Source organism: Homo sapiens, chromosome 6, assembly GCF_000001405.40.
Source record: "Homo sapiens chromosome 6, GRCh38.p14 Primary Assembly".
Classification (NCBI taxonomy): domain Eukaryota; kingdom Metazoa; phylum Chordata; class Mammalia; order Primates; family Hominidae; genus Homo; species Homo sapiens.
The window spans coordinates 49,872,906-49,893,182 of record NC_000006.12 but is presented as its reverse complement, the minus strand read 5'-3'; the positions used below and the strand labels follow the sequence as shown (position 1 = coordinate 49,893,182).

At 37.6% G+C, this 20,277-nt stretch overlaps 1 protein-coding gene across 1 annotated transcript in view, besides 3 other annotated features; it reads left to right on the top strand.

Annotated features, from left to right (window-relative positions):
• Nucleotides 488-1,687: an enhancer, noted in NCBI's record as "CDK7 strongly-dependent group 2 enhancer chr6:49859209-49860408 (GRCh37/hg19 assembly coordinates)". NCBI's record gives its function as "activates an origin of replication core promoter dependent on BRD2, BRD4, P300/CBP, MED14 and CDK7 cofactors, with strong dependence on CDK7, by STARR-seq in HCT116 cells {active_cell/tissue: HCT116}" and the evidence as "EXISTENCE:reporter gene assay evidence [ECO:0000049][PMID:35650434]".
• Nucleotides 488-2,351: a biological region, named in NCBI's record as "CDK7 strongly-dependent group 2 enhancer GRCh37_chr6:49859209-49860408".
• Nucleotides 1,586-2,351: an enhancer, noted in NCBI's record as "OCT4-NANOG hESC enhancer chr6:49858545-49859310 (GRCh37/hg19 assembly coordinates)". NCBI's record gives its function as "activates a minimal SCP1, AML or CMV promoter by ChIP-STARR-seq in naive H9 embryonic stem cells {active_cell/tissue: H9 hESC(naive)}" and the evidence as "EXISTENCE:reporter gene assay evidence [ECO:0000049][PMID:30033119]".
• CRISP1 (cysteine rich secretory protein 1) overlaps nucleotides 16,087-20,277 on the top strand; it is a 42,840-nt gene continuing 38,649 nt past the window's right edge. The window contains exon 1 of the mRNA NM_001205220.2: nucleotides 16,087-16,174. The gene's annotated coding sequence lies outside the window, so the exon portion shown is untranslated. The remainder of the gene's footprint in view (nucleotides 16,175-20,277) is intronic.

Below are 20,277 nucleotides of genomic sequence, written 5' to 3'. Positions count from 1 at the left end.
ATTTCCTTGCATTGGACTTTGCCTTTCTCTGGTCCCTCCCTCATTACCTTAATAACTAACCTTCTGAACTATTTTTTAGGTAAATCAGGGATTTCTTCTCGGTTTGGGTCTGCTGCTGGTGAACTAGTGTGATTTTGCGGGGGGGTGTTGAAGAGCCTTGTTTTGTCATATTACCAGGATAGGTTTTCTGGTTCCTTCTCACATGGGTAGGCTCTGTCAGAGGGAAGGTCTAGGGCTGAAGACTGTTGTTCAGATTCTTTTGTCCCACAGGGTGTTCCCTTGATGTAGTACTTGCCCATTTTTCCTATTGATGTGGCTTCCTGTGCACAAAACTGTGGTGATTGTTATCTGTCTTCTGGGTCTAGCCACCCAGTGAGTCTACCAGGCTCTGGGCTGGTACTGGGGGTTGTCTGCACAGAGTCCTGTGACGTGAACTGTCTGTCGGTCTCTCAGCCATGGATGCCAGTGCCTGTTGAGTGGAGGTGGAGGTGGCAGGCAGGGGGGTGCAATGAACTCTCTCAGGGTTCTTAGTCTTGGTGGTTTAATGCTCTATTTTTGTGCTGGTTGGCCTTCTGCCAGGAGTTGGTGCTTTCCAGAGAGCATCAGCTGTGTTAGTATGAGGAGGAACCGGGGTGGGCAGGGATCTTGTATGTGCCTTTGTCTTTAGCTACCAGGGTGGGTAGGGAAAGACTATCATGTGGGGCCAGGGCTAGGCGTGTCTGAGCTCAGAATCTACTTGGGCGGGTGTTGCTACCACTGCTGTCAGGGATGGGGGTGAGAATCCCAGGTCACTGGAGTCATGTGCCTAGGAGGATTATAGCCACCTTTGCTGAGTCATGCAGGTTGTCAAGGAAGTGAGAGAAAGCTGGTAGTCACAGACTTCACCCAGCTCCCATGCAAACCAAAGGGCTGGTCTCACTCCCACCATGCCCCCTCAACAGCCCTGAGTCCATTTCCAGGTGCAGTGTGAGACGGGCTTGAAAATCTGCCGCAGGCTACCCACCTCCCAGTTGCAAATGAAAAGGGCATGGTTCTACCCCTGCCTGTGGGGTCTGCACACTGAATTTGCACCCTCCCCCAAGATCTAGCCAGGTTTCAAACCCCCTTTGAATTGTTACAAAGTTCAGCTAGAGATTTCCTTCTCCCTGTGGAGTTTTACCTCCTGCTCCTCTGGTCACCCTCTCGAGGGATCTCTGTGGTGCCAGGCAAGAATGGCCTTCTAGGGGACCCGGCGAGCTCCCAGGGCCTTTCTGCTGCCTCCTTTACCTCTGTATTTTGCTCTGCTCTCCAAATTGACTGAGCTCCAGATAATATCAGAAATTTCTCCCATAAGAAGACCTTCAGCTTCTCCAGTGGTGGTGTTTGTTCAGGAGAGGAGGGTTTCCCTTTCCCACTTCCACAGTTGGGACACTCACAGTTTTTGGGGTATCTCCCAGGTCCTGCAGGAGTAGTCCGCTTTATTCAGAGGGTATGTGGGTCCTTTCAGGATTTCTGGTTTGTTCTTGCAGTCAATCTGGAGATAAAATTCACAATGTGAGCCTCTACACACTTCTCTGTCTGGAGCTGCAAGCTAGTCCTGCCTCCCATCAACCATGATGCAAATCCTCCTTCTGATGGAAATATTTTAAATAAAACAGGCTCACAAAAATTAACACTGCAGAAATCAACAACAAAAACAAAAATTTCCATACAAATCAAAATAAGAATTGTGGACATAATAATAATAATACATTGTAGGAGATAGGTCAGGGAGGTGGAAAAAATTATAGGGAAAGATGCAAACCTTCTTGGAAGGCCAAGAGGTTTTGCAAAGCTTTGCAAGAGAATAAAAGCTGAAGGCAGCTAACTCTCTTACCCTGAAGCAGAGTGCGAAGGGGAGATAACAAGGGAATGTAAAAGAATTTATGTAGATGAATTCATTTACTTTCATCTCCGGAAACCAACCTTTGATCATTCGCGTGTGTAGGCCTGCTTTCTACTCAGGGGGGCAACAATGTTAATTACCCATAAATTGTGTTTGCTCCAGGCCTTTGTGATTAAATCTGTACTGAATAAATACAAGCAGCTCTAACTTATCCGGGCTGCACTCTTGTTGGTGGTGCTAAGCTGTGCAGTTCCCTAGCTATACTCTCAGGCAAAATACCGACGTTTGCATACTTCTTTCATTTGTCTCTTGGCCAGTCTGCTGGACAGACCTGGCAGGTAGTGCCCCCTGTGAGGAATGCTGCAACAGATTGCAATGGAACCCCCAAAAATAAAGGTGAAGAGACTGCACAGTCAGTAAGTCACTGATGCCTGCTCGGGATTTCCAAGTTTGGGGGAATTTTCAGGCTAGGGTTTCATCATGGGACAACAGTTATTAGCTCAAAAGAAACAGTATATAAAAGTATTGAAATAGCTGCTTAAAGCTAGTGGAGCCTTGGTTTCACACGCTCAATTAAGAGACCTAATGCAAACTCTTGTTTCCCATAACCCATGGTTCCTGGAAGAAGGCACGTTAGACCTAGAGCTCTGGGAACAAGTGAGGAGTAGTCTTAAACAACATCATGCACAAGGGCAACGGGTCACAGTAACATCTTTAACATTATGGGCCTTAGTTAGGGCTGCTTTGGCCCCACTCTACCCAGAAGAGCCTAAAAAGCGAAGAGGGGAAGAACCATCACCTACCTTACTGCCTGCTCCTCCTCCCTTAGCCCCACCATTACAGGGTAAAGATACCAAAGAGAAAACAAAGGTTTTTCCTGAGCTCCCTCCTCCAATAAATTGGAAGAAAGACAAGGGATACACTACAGCTGTGGGACCCTGTCTTAGGCAAGCGGCATTAGAAGGGGAGCTCTTAGCCTGCCCGGTAATGCAAGATTGGCAAGGCAATCGGATGTATGTACCCATTTATTTTGGTGCTTAGAAAGAGATAAGAAGAATTAGAGAAAACAGAGCTGCTAGCCCATTTATGAGAGGGTTGAGGTCACTCTGTAGACCTCTTTCTATTAATGGCCACTGTTATTCCTCCCCTACCCCTGATGTGGCTCTCTCAAGATCCAATTTGCATAGAACAGTGACCTTTAAAGGGAGAGAAATTACAAAGAACCCATTAATTAATTGAGGAGCAATTAAAAGCCAGCCACCTAGAACCATCAAACAGCCCTTGGAATTCACCCATTTTCATTATTCCCAAAAGATCTGGCAAATGGAGACTATTGCATGACTTACAGGCTATTAATGCTAATTTGCAACCTATGGGGCCCCTTCAACAGGTGCTCACTTCCCCCAAGCTGATTCCTCAAGATTGGCCTAGAGTCGTTATTGACTTAAAAGACTGTTTTTTATACTATTCCCCTTGCAGAACAGGACAGATAAAACTTTGCATTTACTATACCAGCTATCAATAATGAAAGGCCAGCTCATTGATTTCATTGGAATGTACTTCCTCAAGGGATGCTGAAGAGTCCTACCATGTGACAGTATCATGTAAATCAAGGTTTTCTCCCAAGTAGAAAAGAATTTCCTAATTGCAAGATTATTCATTTTATGGATGATATTTTACTAGCAGATCCAACAGAGCCAGTACTTTTAAGTTTATATGCCTATGTCCAAAGGAATACACGGTTAAGAGGTTTAATCATAGCACCTGAAAAAGTACAGATGTCCTTTCCTTTGAAATATTCTGGATACATACTAACTTCCTGGTCAGTGAGACTTCAAAAGGTTAAATTGAACACTGACAACTTACACACCTTAAATGATTATCAGAAATTACTGGGTGATATTAATTGGCTTCGCCCACTTTGGGCATAACTACGATAAGTTACAAAACCTGTTTTCTATCCTAAAGAGCAATAAGCCCTAGACTCTCCCAGGTATTTAACCCCTGCAGCAAAAACAGAAATTGAGGAAATAGAGCAAGCTATTTCTCAGAGGCAGCTAGATTGCATAGACCCACAATATTCAGTTCAATTTTTTGTTTTTCCTACTAAACTTTCCCCAACAGGATTAATAGGAAACATAGCCCCAGGGCTGTGCTTTCTAGAATGGGTCTTTTGCTCACATACCAAGACTAAAACACTATCTCCCTATATCCAGCTAGTTAGTAAAGTCACCTATACAGGCTGCAGATGATGCAATCCATTGCTAGGTTATGACCCTGATGTCATAAGAATTCCTTTGAGTAAAAACCAATTCAAAGCAGTCTTGCCCTTATCTCTAGACCTGCAACTAGCACTCTCTGATTATGCAGGCCATATAGAACATGCCCTTCCTGCTGACAAACTACTTCAGTTCTTATCTCGTACTCCTGCAGTTATGCCTACAAAGGTAGTTCACTTCCCCATACTTAACACTTTACTGCTTTTTACTGATAACTCTAGTAAAAATGGGAAAACAGCTGTCTAGTGGGAACTGCATAACTCCTTCAGTCGATCGGGATTTATTAGTGCTCAGAGAGCTGAGGTTGGAGCCTTAATATTGTCCCTGGAAACTTTTTCCACTCAGCCCATCAATATTGTTAGTGACTCTGCTTACTCTGTTTACTTATTATGGAACCTTGAGATAGTCCTTATTAAGTCCACTCTCGAGCCCACCCTGTGTGCACTTTTTCTTCGACTTCAGCAATTGCTGGATCAACGTACACATCCTATTTTTATCACACATATTCGAGCCCACAGCTCACTTCCTGGCCCACTGGCTTATGGCAATAATCCAGCAGACCTGCAGGTTATGATGTCACTGCTTGACCAAGCCACACAATCACATCAATTTTTTCACCAAAATTGGAGCAACTTATCTAAACAATTTCAACTTACCCAAAGACTAGCTAAACAAATTATTTTATAATGCTCAGATTGCCAATTCACAGGCATGTCCCCTCCTTCAACAGGTGTTAACCCTAGAGGACTAGAACCTAATCAGTTATGGCAGATGTTATTCACGTCCCTGAATTTGGAAAACTTAGATATGTACATGTATCCATTGATACCAATTCCCCCCTAATTAGCTCACATACTCTTCCTGGAGAGTTCACCCAATATGTCATTAAACATCTTCTCTTAACTTTTGTGTTTATGGGGTGGCTCACAAAAATTAAAACTGATAATGGTCCTTCTTATGCCAGCTCACAATTTCAACAATTTTGTCACACATGGAACATCCAATATTCCACAGGCATCCTGTATAACCCCAAGGACAGGCCATAGTAGAATGTATCCACTCCACCCTTAAAAATATGCTCAGAAAACAAAAAAGGGGGAATATGAGTAAGGATCCTGCAACACTACTAGTGCAAGCCTTATTTACCCTTAGTTTCTTAAATTTAAATGATAAATTTCAATCAGCCATAGAAAAGCACTTTGCTAAAAACCTCTCAAGACATAAAACCCACAGTTTTATGGAAGGATGTAAATAGTAATGTATGGTGTGGTCCAAATGAATTGCTAACGTGGGGAAGAGAATATCCTTGTGTTCACACCCCCTCAGGTACTCTTTGGATTCCAGCATAATGCATCAAACCATACCATGGTGTGGCTAAGACCCAGCCCAGTACCAGAAATGAAGGAAATGACCCTGCAGGATCCGTAACCCCAGATGATGCTGCTTCCTCGGATGACACAAGCCCCAGACATTACCTGGGGGATAATGAAGAAGACAAATCAGGAGGTTGAGTGAACCTGCTCGGGACACAGATGCCGTTCACTCCAGATAATTTGTTCCTTGCTATGCTTTCTGTTGTACATTGCAACTCTCATAGGATATTGGTTTTTCTTATTCTCTCACTGTGGCTGCAACCAATACCTGCTGCATTTTATTAGACCCATCTTCTAAATCTGCCTTTCTTCTGCCCTGTTACCTGGGCAGACACCCCCTTCCCAGCCTCTAATAATGTAACTGCTTGGCTGGGAGGGCTTGACATACCTCCAGTGGTGTTCCTTACTAACGGCACACATTAGACTGTGGTGCCAAGTAACACTAGATGTTGCTCCTTGATTGGAAAAGAATATTACTAATTATAGTCATGTTTGTCTCATTTACTAATTCTAGGATGCAAAGCTGGAATATGAGCAGTAACTGCTACCCCAGACAAACCTGTTGCTGCACACATCTGTACTCTTCAGTCAACAAAACCTGATGCAAAAAGCAGAAAAGGGGGAGATGTAGGAGATCAGTCAGGGTGGTGGGAAAAATTATACGGAAAGACGCAAACCTTCTTGGAAGGCTGAGAGGTTTTGCAAAGCTTCGGGAAAGAATAAAAGCTGAAGGCGGCTAATTCTCTTACACACACACACACATATATACACATGCATAATATACAATCTGTACCATACATATACTATATATAGTACTATATATAGTATATATACTATATATAGTACTATATATAGTATATATACTATATATATCATATATATTACATATACACACAGACACACAAACACACACACATAGTACAGATTGAAGAAGCAGAGCAAGATGGCCAAATAGAACTCTTCAGTAATTGTCCATCCTGTGGAAACAGCAAATTCAACAATTATCCATACAAAAAAAGCACCTTTTTTTATAAGCTCCAAAAATCAGGTGAGCAATCATAGTACCTGGTTTTAATTTCATATCACTAAAAGAGGCAATGAAAAGGGCAGAAAATGAAATCCTGAATTGCTGACACCATCCCTTCCCATCCCCCAGCATTGACTGTTGGTGCAGATATAATCTGTCTGCTTGCAGGAGAGAGAGTGCATTGATCACGGGACTTTGAATTAGAACTCAGTGCTGCCCTGGCACAACAGAACGCAAAAACAGGATGAACTCAGTCAGTGCCTACAGAGGAAAGTTCTGGAAAGCCCTGCCATCATGGGCTAAAGGACTCTGGGGTTCTAAATAAACTTGAAAAGAAGTCTAGGCCACAAGGACTGCAAATCCTAGGCAAGCTGTGGTGCTGTGCTGAACTTGGAGCCAGTGGACTTGGCGTACATGTGACCTAGCAAGACACCAGCCAGGGTAGCCAAGGGAAGAAAGGAGAGGAAAGAGTAAAGGGGACTTTCTCTTGCATCTTGGGCCACAGTTGGGTAGAGCAACAAGCAGGCTCCTGGTATTCCTGATTCCAGGCCTTGGCTCCTGGTCCTGGGCCAGAATGGAGCCACTTGCCCTGAAGGAAGAGACCCCAGCCTAGAAGCATTCACCACAAGCTGACTGAAGAGCCTATGGGCTCTGAATGAAAATCGGCAGTAGCCAGGCAGCACTTGCTGTGGGCCTGGGGCACTAGTGGACACAGGGAGAAACTCCTCTGCTTGAGGTAAGAGGAAGAAAGCATGGGGAAGACTTTGTCTTGCAGCTTGGGTGCCAGCCTAGCCACAATAGAATGGAGCACCAGGTAGATTCTTAAGGTTCCCTACTCTAGGCCCTGGCTTCCAGACAGTATCTTTCAGGGCTAAGAGAACTCATCACCCTTAAGAGAAGAAAGCAAGCCTAGCTGGATTGTCATCTGCTGATTGTAGAGCCGCTTGGGCCTTGAGTGAACATAGGTGGTAGCTAGGCAGTGGTCACTGAGGGCCTTGGGTGTGACCCAATGTTGTGCTGTGCCAATAATAACAGGTCTTACCCAGCACAGTCCCAGTGGTAGTGGGCACAAGTATAATTGTGTCATCCCTCCCCAGCTCCTGGGAGCTCAGCCCAAAGACAGACTCTGTTTGGGGAAAAGTAAAGGAAGAGAACAAGAGTCTCTGCTTTGTAATTCAGGGAATTCTCCCAGATCTAACTCAAGGCCTCCACGACACCAAAGACTTAGATCTCGATACCCATGTCTCTTTGAAAACCTGGAAACCCTTCCGAAGAAGAATGGATACAAATAAGCCCAGACTGTGAAGATTACAATAAATATCTAATTTTTCATTGCCCAGACAATGATGAACATCCATGAGCATCAAGATCATCCAGAAAAACATGAACTCACCAAACAAATGAAATAAATGAAATAAGGCACCAGTGACCCATCCTGGAGAGACAGAGACATGTTACTTTTCAGACAGATAATTCAAAATAGCTATTTTGAGGAAGCTCAATAAAATATAAGATAACACAGAGGAGAAATTAAGAATTCTGCCAGATAAATTAAACAAAGAGATTGAAATAATTAAAAAAGAATTAAGCAGAAACTCTGGAGCTGAAAAATGCAATTGATATACTGCAGAATGCATTAGAGTCTCTTAATAGCAGAATTAATCAAGTAGAAGAAAGAATTAGTGAACTTAAAGTCAGGCTATTTGAAAACACACAGGCAGAGGAGACCAAAAATAAAAATAAAAATAAATAAATGAAGCATGCCTATGAGATCTAGAGAATAACCTCAAAAGGGCAAATCTAAGATTTATGGGCCTTAAAGAAGAGGTACAAAGAGAGATTGGGGTAAGAAAATCTATTCAAAGGGATAATAACAGAGAACTTCCCAAACCTAGAGAAAGATATCAATATTCAAGAACAAGAAGATTATAGAACACCAAGCAGATTTAATCCAAATACACCTACATCAAGGCATTTAACAATCAAATTCCCAAAGGTCGAAGATAAAGAAAGAATCCTAAAAGCAGCAAGGGAAAACAAACAAATAATATACAAAGGAACTTCAATACATGTGGCATTAGCCTTCTCAGTGGAAACCTCAGAGGAGACTTCTCCTCTCCTTACAGGCCAGGAGAAAATTGCATGATATGTTTAAAGTACTGAAGAAAAACAACTCTTATCCTAGAATAGCATATAAAGGGAAAACATCCTTTAAACATGAAGAAGAAATAAAGACTTTTCAGACAAACAAAAGGTGAAGTATTTCATCAACACGAGACTTGTCATAAAAGAAATGCTAAGGGGACTTTCAGAGGCCAAGGTGGGCAGATCACGAGGTCAGGAGATTGAGACCATCCTGGCTAACATGGTGAAACCCTGTCTCTACTAAAAATACAAAAAAATTAGCTGGGCATGGTGGTGGGCACCTGTAGTCCCAGCTACTCGGGAGGCTGAGGCAGGAGAATGGTGTGAACCTGGGAGGCAGAGCTTGCAGTGAGCCAAGATCATGTCACTGCACTCAAGTCTGGGCGACAGAGCGAGACTCTGTCTCAAAAAAAAAAAAAAGAAAAAAGAAAAAAAAGAAATGCTAAGGGGAGTTCTTCAGTCTGGAATAAAAGGAGGTTAATGGTAAATATAAATTATCTGAAGGTACAAACCTCATTTGTAATAGTTAGCACACAGAAAAATACAGAATATTATAACACTAATTGTGGTATGTAAACTACTCGTAACTTGGGTAGAAAGACTAAAAGATGAACTTATCAAAAATAAAACTATAACAACTTTTCAAGACATAGACATCTTATTATATCTTATATAATAAGATATACTTAGAAACAATAAGAAGCTAAAAATGGGGGAATGAAGTTAAAGTGTACAGTTTTTATTAGTTTTCTCTTTGTGTGTTTATTTCTGCAATCAGTGCTAAGTTGTAATCAGTTTACAATAATAGATTGTTAGGTATTATTTGCAAGCCTTACAGTAACCTCAAATTAAACAATCTATAACAGGTACAAAGAAAAAGCAAAAAAGTAAAACGTACCACCAACAAAAGTCACCTTCAACAAAAGGAAGACCGGAGGGAGGGAAAGAGGAAAGAGAAGACAACAAAACAATCAGAAAACAAATAACAATATGGCAGGAGTAAGTTCTTACTTATCAGTAGTAACATTAGTATAAATAAATTAAACTCTCCAATCAAAAGATGTATAGTGGCTGAATAGACAAAAAATAAAAAGAAAAAAGACCCAATGATTTGTTGCCTACAAGAAATATACCTCACCCATAAAGACACACAGACTAAAAATGAAGGGGTGGAAAAGTATATGTAATGGAAATGGAAACCCAAAAAGAGCTGGAGTAGGTATACTTATATCAAATAAAATAGATTTCAACACAAAAACTGTAAAGAGAGACAAGAAGTTCCTATATAATGACAAAGGGTAAATAGAGTAAGAGGATACAATTGTAAATATATATGCATTCAACACTGGAGGACACAGATATATAAAGCAAATATTATTAGAAATAAAGAGAGGATAGGCACAAATATAATAATAGCTGGAGACTTCAACACTCTACTTTCAGCATAGAACATATCATCCAAACAGAAAATCAACAAAGAAACATTGACCTTAATCTGCACTATAGACCAAATGGACTTAATAGATGTTAAGAGAACATTTCATCATATGGCTACAGAATATGCATTCTTCCGCTCAGTAAATGGGTCATTCTCAAGCATAAACTATACATTAACTCACAAAACAAGCCAAAAATTTAACAAAACCTGAAATAATATCAAGTATCTAATCTGACCACAAAGAAATGAAACTAGAAAGAAAATGTGGTACATATACACCATGGAATACCATGCAGCCATAAAAAAAAATCATGTTCTTTACAAGGACATGGATGGGGCCACTGTCCTTAGCGAACTAACACAGGAACAAAAAACAAATATTGCATGTTCTCACTTATAAGTAGGAGCTAAATGATGAGAATGTACGGACACATAGAGGGGAACAAGAGATACCGAGGCCAACTGGATGGTGGAAGTTGCGAGAAGGAAGATGATCAGTAAAAATGACTATTGGGTACTGGACTTAGTACCTGAGTGATGAAATAATCAGTTCAACAAACCCCTGTAACACAAGCTTACCAATATAACAAAATTGCACATGTGCCCCGGACTTAAAGTAAAAGTTAAAAAATAAAGAAATCAATAACCAAAGGAATTTTGGAAACTTCACAAACACATAGAAATTAAGCAATATGCTCTTGAATGGCCAGTGGGTCAATGAAGAAATTAAGAAAAAAATTTAGAAATTTTTAGAAACAAAAGAAAGTGAAAACACAATATACCCAAATGAATGGGATACAATGAAAACAGTACTAAAAGGAAAATTTATAGCCATAAGTGCCTACATCACAAAAGTAGAAAAACTTCAAACAAGCATCCTAATAATGCATCTTAAAGAATTAGAAAAGAAAAAGCAAACCAAACCCAAAATTAGTAGAAGAAAAGAAATATGATCAGAGAAGAAATAAATGAAATTAAAACCAAGAAAACAATATAAAGGATGAATGAAATCAAAAGTTTGTTTTTAGAAAAGGTAAACAAAATTGGCAAACCTTTAGCCTGACTATAAAAAAGAGAATACTCAAATAAATGAACTCAGAGATGAAAAAGATATTACAGCCAATACCACAGAAATTCAAAGGATCATTGGTGGTTACTCTGAGCAACTATATGCCAATAAATTGGAAAACCTAGAAGAAATGAATAAATTCCTAGAGACATACAACCTACAGGATTGGACCATAAAAAAATTTAAAACCTGACCAGTAACAAGTAATGAGATTGAAACTGAAATAGTCTCATAGCAAAGAAAAGCCCAGGACCCAATGGCCACTGCTGAATTTTACCAAACATTTAAAGAACTAATGCTATTCAAACTATTACAAAAAATAGAGGAAGAATGAATACTTCCAAACTCATTCCTCAAGGCCAGAATTAACCTGGTATCAAAACCAGAAAATGACACATCAAAAAAAGAAAACCACAGGCCAATACCCTTGATAAACATTAATGCAAAAATCCTCAACAAAGTATTAGCAAAGTGAATCCAACAAAATATTAAAAATACTATTCATCATGACCAAGTGGGATTTATTGCAGCATGTAAGGATGGCTCAACCTAAGCAAATCAATGTGATACATTGTAGTAACAGAATGAAAGACAAAACTATATGATCATTTCAATCGATGCTGAAGAAAATTCAATAAAATTCAACATCTCTCCATAATAAAAGCCCTCAAAAAACTAGGAATAGAAGAAACATACCTCAGTACAATAAAAGCCATATATAACACACACACAGCTAATATCATACTGAATGGGAAAAAACTGAAAGCCTTTCCTCTAAGATCTGGATAATGACAAGGATGCCAACTTTTATGACTGCTATTTAACATAATGCTGGCAGTTCTAGATAGAGAAATCAGGCAAGAGAAAGAAATACAAGATATCCAAATTGGAAAGGAAGAGTCAAATTATCCTTGTTTGTAGATAATATGATCTTATATATGGAAAAACCTAAAGACTACACACACACACACACACACACACACACACACACACACAAAACTATTAGAACTGATAAAAAAAAATCAGTAAAGTTACAGGATACAAAATCAATATACAAAATTAGTAGCATTTCTATATGCCAACAGTGAACAATGTGAAAAAAGAAATTTAAAAAGTAATCCCATTTACAATAGCCACACATAAAATTGAATATCTAGAATTTAACTTAACCAAACAAAGTGAAAGATTTTTATAATGAAAACCATAAAACACTAAGGAAGGAAATTGAAGAGAACACCAAAAAACAAAAACAAAAACAAACAAACAAACAAACAAACAAAAATGGAAAAATATTCCATGATTCATGGATTGGAAGAATTAATAGTATTAAAACATCCTTACTACCCAAAGCAATCTACAGATTTAATGCAATCCCCATCAAAATACCAATGACCTTCTTCACAGAACCAGAAAAAAAAATCCTAAAATTTATATGAAACCACAAAATACCTAGAATAGCAAAAACTATTCTGAGTAAAAAGAATGAAACTGGAGGAATCACATTACCTGACTTCAAATTATACTACAGAGCTATAGTAACTGAAAATGCTTGGTACTGGCATAAAAACAGACCCATAGACCAATGGAACAGGATGGAGAACCTAGAAACAAATTGATACATCTACAGTGAACTCATTTTCAACAAAGGTGTCAATAACATACATTGGGGAAAGGACATTCTCTTCAATAAATGATGCTGGGAAAACTAGATATCTATATTCAGAAGAATGAAACTAGACCCTATCTCTTGCTGTATACAAAAATCAAATCAAAATGGATTGAAGACTTAAATCAAAGATCTCAAACTATGAAACTGCTGCCAGAAAACATTGAGGAAATTCTCCAGGACATTGGACTGGGCAAAGATTTTTTGAATAGTATCCCACAAGCACAGGAAACCAAAGCAAAAATTGATGACTACGATCACATCAAGTTAAAAGCTTCTGCACCATAAAGGAAACAATCAATGAAGTGAAAATATAAACCAAGGAATGGGAGAAAAGATTTACAAACTATCTGACAGAGGTTTAATAACCAGAATATGTAAGTAGGTGAAACAACTCTAAAGAAAAAATTCTAATAATCTGATTTAAAAATAGGCAAAAATCTGAATACACATTCCTCAATAGAAGACAAACAAATGGCAAGTAAGTATACCAAAAGGTGCTCAACACCATTGACCAGAGAAATGCAAATCAAAACTACAATGACATATTATCTTAGCCCAGTTAAAATGACTTTTATGCAGAAGACAGGCAATAATAAATGCTGGCAAGGATGTGAAGAAAAGGGAACCCTCGTACACTGTTAGTGGGAATGCAAATTAGTACAACCACTATGAAGAACAGTTTGGAGGTTTCTCAAAAAACTAAAAATAGAACTATTATATGATCCTAGCAATTCCATTGCTAGGTATATAGCCAAAAGAAAGGAAATCAGTATATCAAAGAAATACCTCCACTCTCATGTTTATTGCAGCACTATTCACAGTAGCCATGATTTGGAAGCAACCTAAGTGCCTATCAATAGACAAATAAATAAAGAAACTGTGATATATACTCCATATATATATACAATGGAGTCCTATGCAGTCATAAAAAAGAATGAGATACTGTCATTTGCAACAACATGGATGGAACTGGAGGACATTATGTTAAGTGAAATAAGCCAGGCACAGAAAGACAAACTTTGCATATTCTCATTCATTTGTGGCATCTAAAAATTAGAATCAATGAACTCATGGAGATAGAGAGTAGAATGATGGTTACCAAAGGCTGGAAAAGGTTGTTGGGTGGGGCAGGTTGGGAAGTGGGGGTAGTTAAGGGATAGAGAAAATTTACTTAGATAGAATAAATAAGATCTAGTATTTGATAGCACAACAGGTGACTATAGTCAACAATATTTTATCACACATTTAAAAATTACTAAAATAATAGAATTAGATTTTTAACACAAAGAAAGGATAAATAATTGGGGTAATGGATACTTCATTTGCCCTGATGTGATTATTATGCACTGTATGCCTGTATCAAAATATCTCATGTACCCCATAAATATATACACTCACTCTGTACCAAAAAAATAAAAATAAAAGTAAAGAAAAGGATAAAAAACATGGGAGGGAGAAAACACAGAGGAAGTTAAAAAAATACAGTGTGTAGTAAGCTTTTAATCAAAACACATTATAGGTGGAGACTAAAAACTTGCTGTTGTTTGTTGTTGCTGTTTAACAGCAGATACAGGTATTCTGGTGATGCTACTCTATTGCTTAGTTAGCCTAAACACATGATTTTTCACTATATTAATGGTATATCATAATTGTTTTCTGTTAAGTATTTATGTGTGAATAACTGTAAGAAAATTGTTGGTTATAGATTGCATATATATTTAGAGTCAGAAATAATGGCATTGCCAAGCAACCACAGATTGTCCAAGTAGGTGGCTGAGATAGTAACACCTTTGCTTTCTGATGGTTCAATGTACACAAACCTTGGTTCATGCACAAAATTATTTTAAAATATTGTATAAAATTATCTTCAGGCTAAAGTATATATGAAATGTGAATAAGTTTATGTTTAGACTTGGGTCCCATCCCCAGGATATCTCATTATGTATATGCAAATATTTTAAAATAAAAAATTTGTAATCCCAAACGTGTCTGGTCCCAAGCATTTTGGATAAGGGATACTCAACCTATGTTTCATTAATATAGCCACATCAAACACATTGAACTCTGAATCGTGTTCACATTATTTCATCTGAGTTTTCACCACAAAATTATTTCTCTGTGCAAAATGTCTTCCTAGTTTGCTGAAGATTGACCCCATTGTTTGTTCTTGGTGACCAATTTATGAATTAGTAGAAATATCACCCTCACTAAAACTATGCAAGAGAGAAAGGGCATTTTTAATTTTGTTTCATTTACCTCATCTGTTTTAAAATGATGTAAAGCAGAAGACAGTATTATTTAAAAATCTAGACTCAGAAGCTATGGGGCCTGGATTTCTATAGTTCCGAGATTTTAAATTGCTTCTCAGAACCATACTCCATTCGCATATAAGACAGAAATGATAATATCTTCTATTACACAGGAATATTGTCATTTTCTTAACTGCATTAAGGAAGAATTGTAAATGGATTAAGAAAATTCTTCCTCTTCTTATATTAGTGGAGAAAAACGTCCCCTTAGCAGACAAGGTGAGAGGTAAAGAAACAGAACCTGGAACAGGTACAATTAAACATATGCCTTTGTGAGAGACTAAGGTAGCATCCTTGTTTTTGCTTGCTTTTGAAAAATATTCGGATAATATACAGCATACTCTGGTAGATAGTTGTATACATCATTTTATTTATTTGTGCACTGTGATTACTAGATCAGAGATTTTTGACTATTAGTTTGACTGTTGAGGTTTTTCTCCAGGTCATGTTGATGGAAGTGATTTTAAAGTAATATCACATGGAACATATTGTCTTTCTGCTCGTGGTCTGAATTAAAAAATTGGCTCCCAAATTTATATAAGGCCACGACTTTTCATCTATATTGTCAATAAACATTCCATTCTAATAGAAAGAGAACTTTGTGAGAGAGTAATTTGTGGGACTATATAAATCCAATGTCATGATTCACTCCTACCCATTTGCTCTCTCTCCTTCTGATCTGCTTGGAATTTCTGGACCAGAAAGAATCACTGAACATATCGCTTGTAGTAGGCTATCAGGTTCATACTATGAGAGTAGGCCTATATTGATTTTATCTTAAATAAATCTGCAAAAGCCTAAAGGCAAGATCTAAGCTTTAAAGGGCTCGAATTTTCTTAAAGTTCAAAAAAAAATTGGAAAGTTATTTCGTGTGTGTCTGTGTGTGTGTGTGAGCTTTACGCATTCATAGTCCAGTTTCTTTGCAGCTACCAGGACAGAGCTTGGTGAGATAATTCTTTTATTCTTCAACTTTTATTTTAACTTCAATGGTACATGTGCAGGTTAGTTACATAGGTGAATGTGTGCCATGGTGGTTTGCTGCACAGATCATTCCATAACCTAGGTTTTAAGCCCAGCATCCATTGGCTATTCTTCCTGATGCTCTCCCTCCCCCTATCTTCCCTTCTGACAGACCCTAGTGTGTGTTGTTCCCCCTCATGTGTCCATGCATTCTCATCATTCAGCAACCACTTACAAGTGAGAATATGTAGTGTTTGGTTTTCTGTTCCTGTGTTAGTGTGTTAGGGATAATGGTTTCCAAGTCCTTCTATGTCCCTGCAAAGGACATAATCGTGTTCTTCTTTATGGCTACATAGTGTTCCATGGTGTATATGTATCGCATTTTCTTTACCCAGCCTATAATTGATGGGCATTTAAGTTGATTTTACGTCTTTGCTGTTAAGAATAGTGCTGCTGTGAACACACATGTGCATGTATCTTTATAATATAATATTTATATTTGTTTGAGTGTATACCCAGTAATGAAATTGCTGGGTCAAAGGGTATTTCTGCCTCTAGATCTTTGAGGAATTTTCACACTGTCTTCCACATTGTTGAACTAATTTACACTCCCACCAACAGTGTAAAAGCATTCCTTTTTCTCTGCAACCTTATCAGCAATTGTTGTTTTTTGACTTTTAATAGTAGCCATTCTGACTGGAGTGAGATGGTATTTCATTGTGGTTTTGATTTGCATTTCTCTAATGATCAGTGATGTTCAGCTTCTTTTCATATGTTGTTGCCTGCACGAATGTCTTCTTTTGAGAAGTATCTGTTCATGTTCTTTGCCCACCTTTATTGGTGGTGTTTTTTTCTTGCAAATTTGTTTAAGTTCCTTGTACTCTCTTGATATTAGACCTTTGTCAGATGAATAGACCGAAAAAATTTTCTCCCATTCTGTAGACTATTCACTCTGATGATAGTTTCTTTTGCTGTGCAGAAGCTCTTTAGTTTAATTAGATCCCATTTGTCTATTTTTGCTTTATTGAAATTGCTTTTGGCATTTTCGTCATGACATCTTTGCCCATGCCTATGGCTAGAATGGTGTTGCCTAGATTTTTTTTTAGGGTTTTTGTAGTTTGGGGTTTGACGTTTAAGTCTTTAATCCATCTTGAGTTAATTTTTGTATAAGGTGTAAGGAAAGGATCCAGTTTCAATTTCCTGCATATGGCTAGCCAGTTCTCCCAGCACCATTTATTCAATAGAAATACTTACCCATCGCTTGTTTTTGTCAGGTTTGTCAAAGATCAGATGGTTGTAGGTATGTGGTCTTATTTCTGAGTTCTCTATTCTGTTCCACTGGTCTATGTATCTGTTCTTGTACCAGTACCATGCTGTTTTGATTACTGTAGCCTTGTAGTATAGTTTGAAGTTGGGTAGAGTGATGCCTCCAGCTTTGTTCTTTATGCTGAGAATTTTCTTGGCTATTTGGGGTCTTCTTTGGTTCTACATACATTTTAAAATAAAATGTTCTAATTCTGTGAAGAATGCCAATGATAGTTTAATGGGAATAGCATTGACTCTATAAATTACTTTGGGGAGTATATCCATTTTCACAATATCGATTCTTCCTATCCATGAGCATGGAATATTTTTCTATTTGTTTGTGTCCTTTTTGATTTGTTTGAGCAGTAGTTTGTAGTTCTCCTTGATGAAGTCCTTCACTTCCTTTGTTAGCTATATTCCTAGGAAGCAATTGTGAATGGGAGTTCATTCATGATTTGGCCCTCTGCTTGCCTCTTGTTGGTATATAGGAATATTATTGACTTTTGCACATTGACTTTGTATTCTGAGACTTTGCTGAAGTTGAAGTTGTTTATTAGTTTAGGAATCTTCTGGGATGAGACAATGGAGTTTTCTATATATAGGATCGTGTCATCTGCAAACAAAGAGTTTGACTTCCTCTATTCCTATTTAAATACACTTTATTTTCTTCTCTTGCCTGATTGCCCAGGCCATAATTTCCAATAATATGTTGAATAGGAGTATTGTGAAAGGGCATCCTCGTCTTGTGTCAGTTTTCAAGGAAAATGTTTCCAGCTTTTGCCCATTTGTTATTATGTTTGCTGTGGGTTCGTCATATATGGCTCTTATTATTTTGAGGTATTTTCCTTCAATACCTAGTTTATTGAGAGTTTTTAACATGAATGGGATGTGGTTTTCTTTAACAAAGGCCTTTTCTGCATTCTATTGACATAGTCATGTGATTTTTGTCTTTAATTCTGCTTATGTGATGAGTCACATTTATTGATTTGCATATGTTGGACCAAACTTGCATCTTGGAGACGAAGGCAGCTTGATCGTGGTGGATAAGTTTTTTGATGCACTGCTGGATTTGGTTTGCCAGTATTTTATTGAGGATTTCTGAATCAATGTTCATCAAGGATATTGACCTGAAGTTTTTGTTGTCGTTGCTGTATCTCTACCAAATTTTTGGTATCAGGATGATGCTGGCCTCATAAAATAATATCCTGAAGGCAGGCTGGAAGGACTGAGTCAACCAACCCTTAAAAATGGTGGTTTTCCCTACCCCAGGAGGAAAGTTACTTCTAACATTTACATTCAAAATCAAATGTCATTACTCTTTGCACATTATCAGTTATGATTTGAACTTCTCTGGAAGAACATGAAGGGAAGAAAATCATGATTTTTCTGAGTGTTTTTAGTTATCTGAAATCAATTGGGTCTATTTTTCTAAATGTTTTATAGCATTAGGCATCAGTACTTGCCTTAAGAAACTATATAACTGTTTTAGTTCTAATATTATTCAGAATTGCCATATTTACTATTCAATAGCTACTGAAGGAAGATCTATCATTGATAGTAATAACTACATTAGGTTTCTGGCTTGCTAAGGTTCTATTATTGACTGAAAATGTCTCCCTCCTCATTTGTTTATTTTTTTTCTAACTTTGGAAAGACAGAGAAAACAAAAATTCAACATGGTATATTAATTCAGGAAGAATACTGGGAGAGCATATATCCTATTTTCTATATTTAAAAATAAGAAAATCAAAGTAACTGTGGGTTAAGGAATGTATTTAAACCAATCAACTAATTAGGAATTTTCAGTCATACACAGATATCTACTTGTGTCTATCAGTTTAACACTCCTTAAAATATATTAGTAGCTCAGCTTTATGGTTCTGATTCACTGAAATGAAACTGGAGAAATAAAATCTGGAGGTCAAGTGGGTTGTCAAGTTTATATTTTTGTTAAGTATAGGTACTGAGCTTTAAAAAACTTTAAATATTTTATCTACTATTGCTAATAATTTCACTAAAGGTAGAAATTTTACCACCAATAATATAAGCAATACATAATCTTGAAAGAAATAATAATCCTTCACATTTGATATAACCAGTTCTATAAATAACTCTGTTCCTTTTGATCCATTTTGTTGATGAATAATGAAAACTTCATTTTTAATTATCAAAATTAAGTTCAAGTGTGCATAGTGAGAAACCATTTCAAGTATTATATTCTCTAGGTAGGAAAAATAGCCTAACATGAGGACACATAAGGAAATTTTAGGGTGGTTGCTTTATGCTAGGACCTGGCTGCCAAAGTGTAAACTAAAAATTTATGAAGACTAAGTTAAATATTGATTCATAATATTTAATCATTAATCAAATTAAATGGCATTTAGTTTTAAAAATTAAGCAACATTTCCTGAGATCTGCAATTTTACTCACGAGTTTCTTTGCCTAACTCCTTCCAGACACATATTTTGGAAAAATTTTCTTTATAGGAATAAGGAAAGTTGTGTTATATCCTTGAACAATTAGGTTTTTCTGGCTTATCCCTTTTTATTTTATTTTATTTTTTTATTTTTATTTTTTATACTTAAGTTTTAGGGTACATGTGCACAGTGTGCAGGTTAGTTAACATATGTACACATGTGCCATGTTGGTGTGCTGCACCAAGTAACTCGTCATTTAACATTAGGTATATCTCCAAATGCTATCATTCCATGCTCATGGGTAGGAAGAATCAATATCATGAAAATGGCCATACTCCCCAAGGTAATTTATAGATTCAATGCCATCCCCATCAAGCTACCAATGACTTTCTTCACAGAATTGGAAAAAACTACATTAAAGT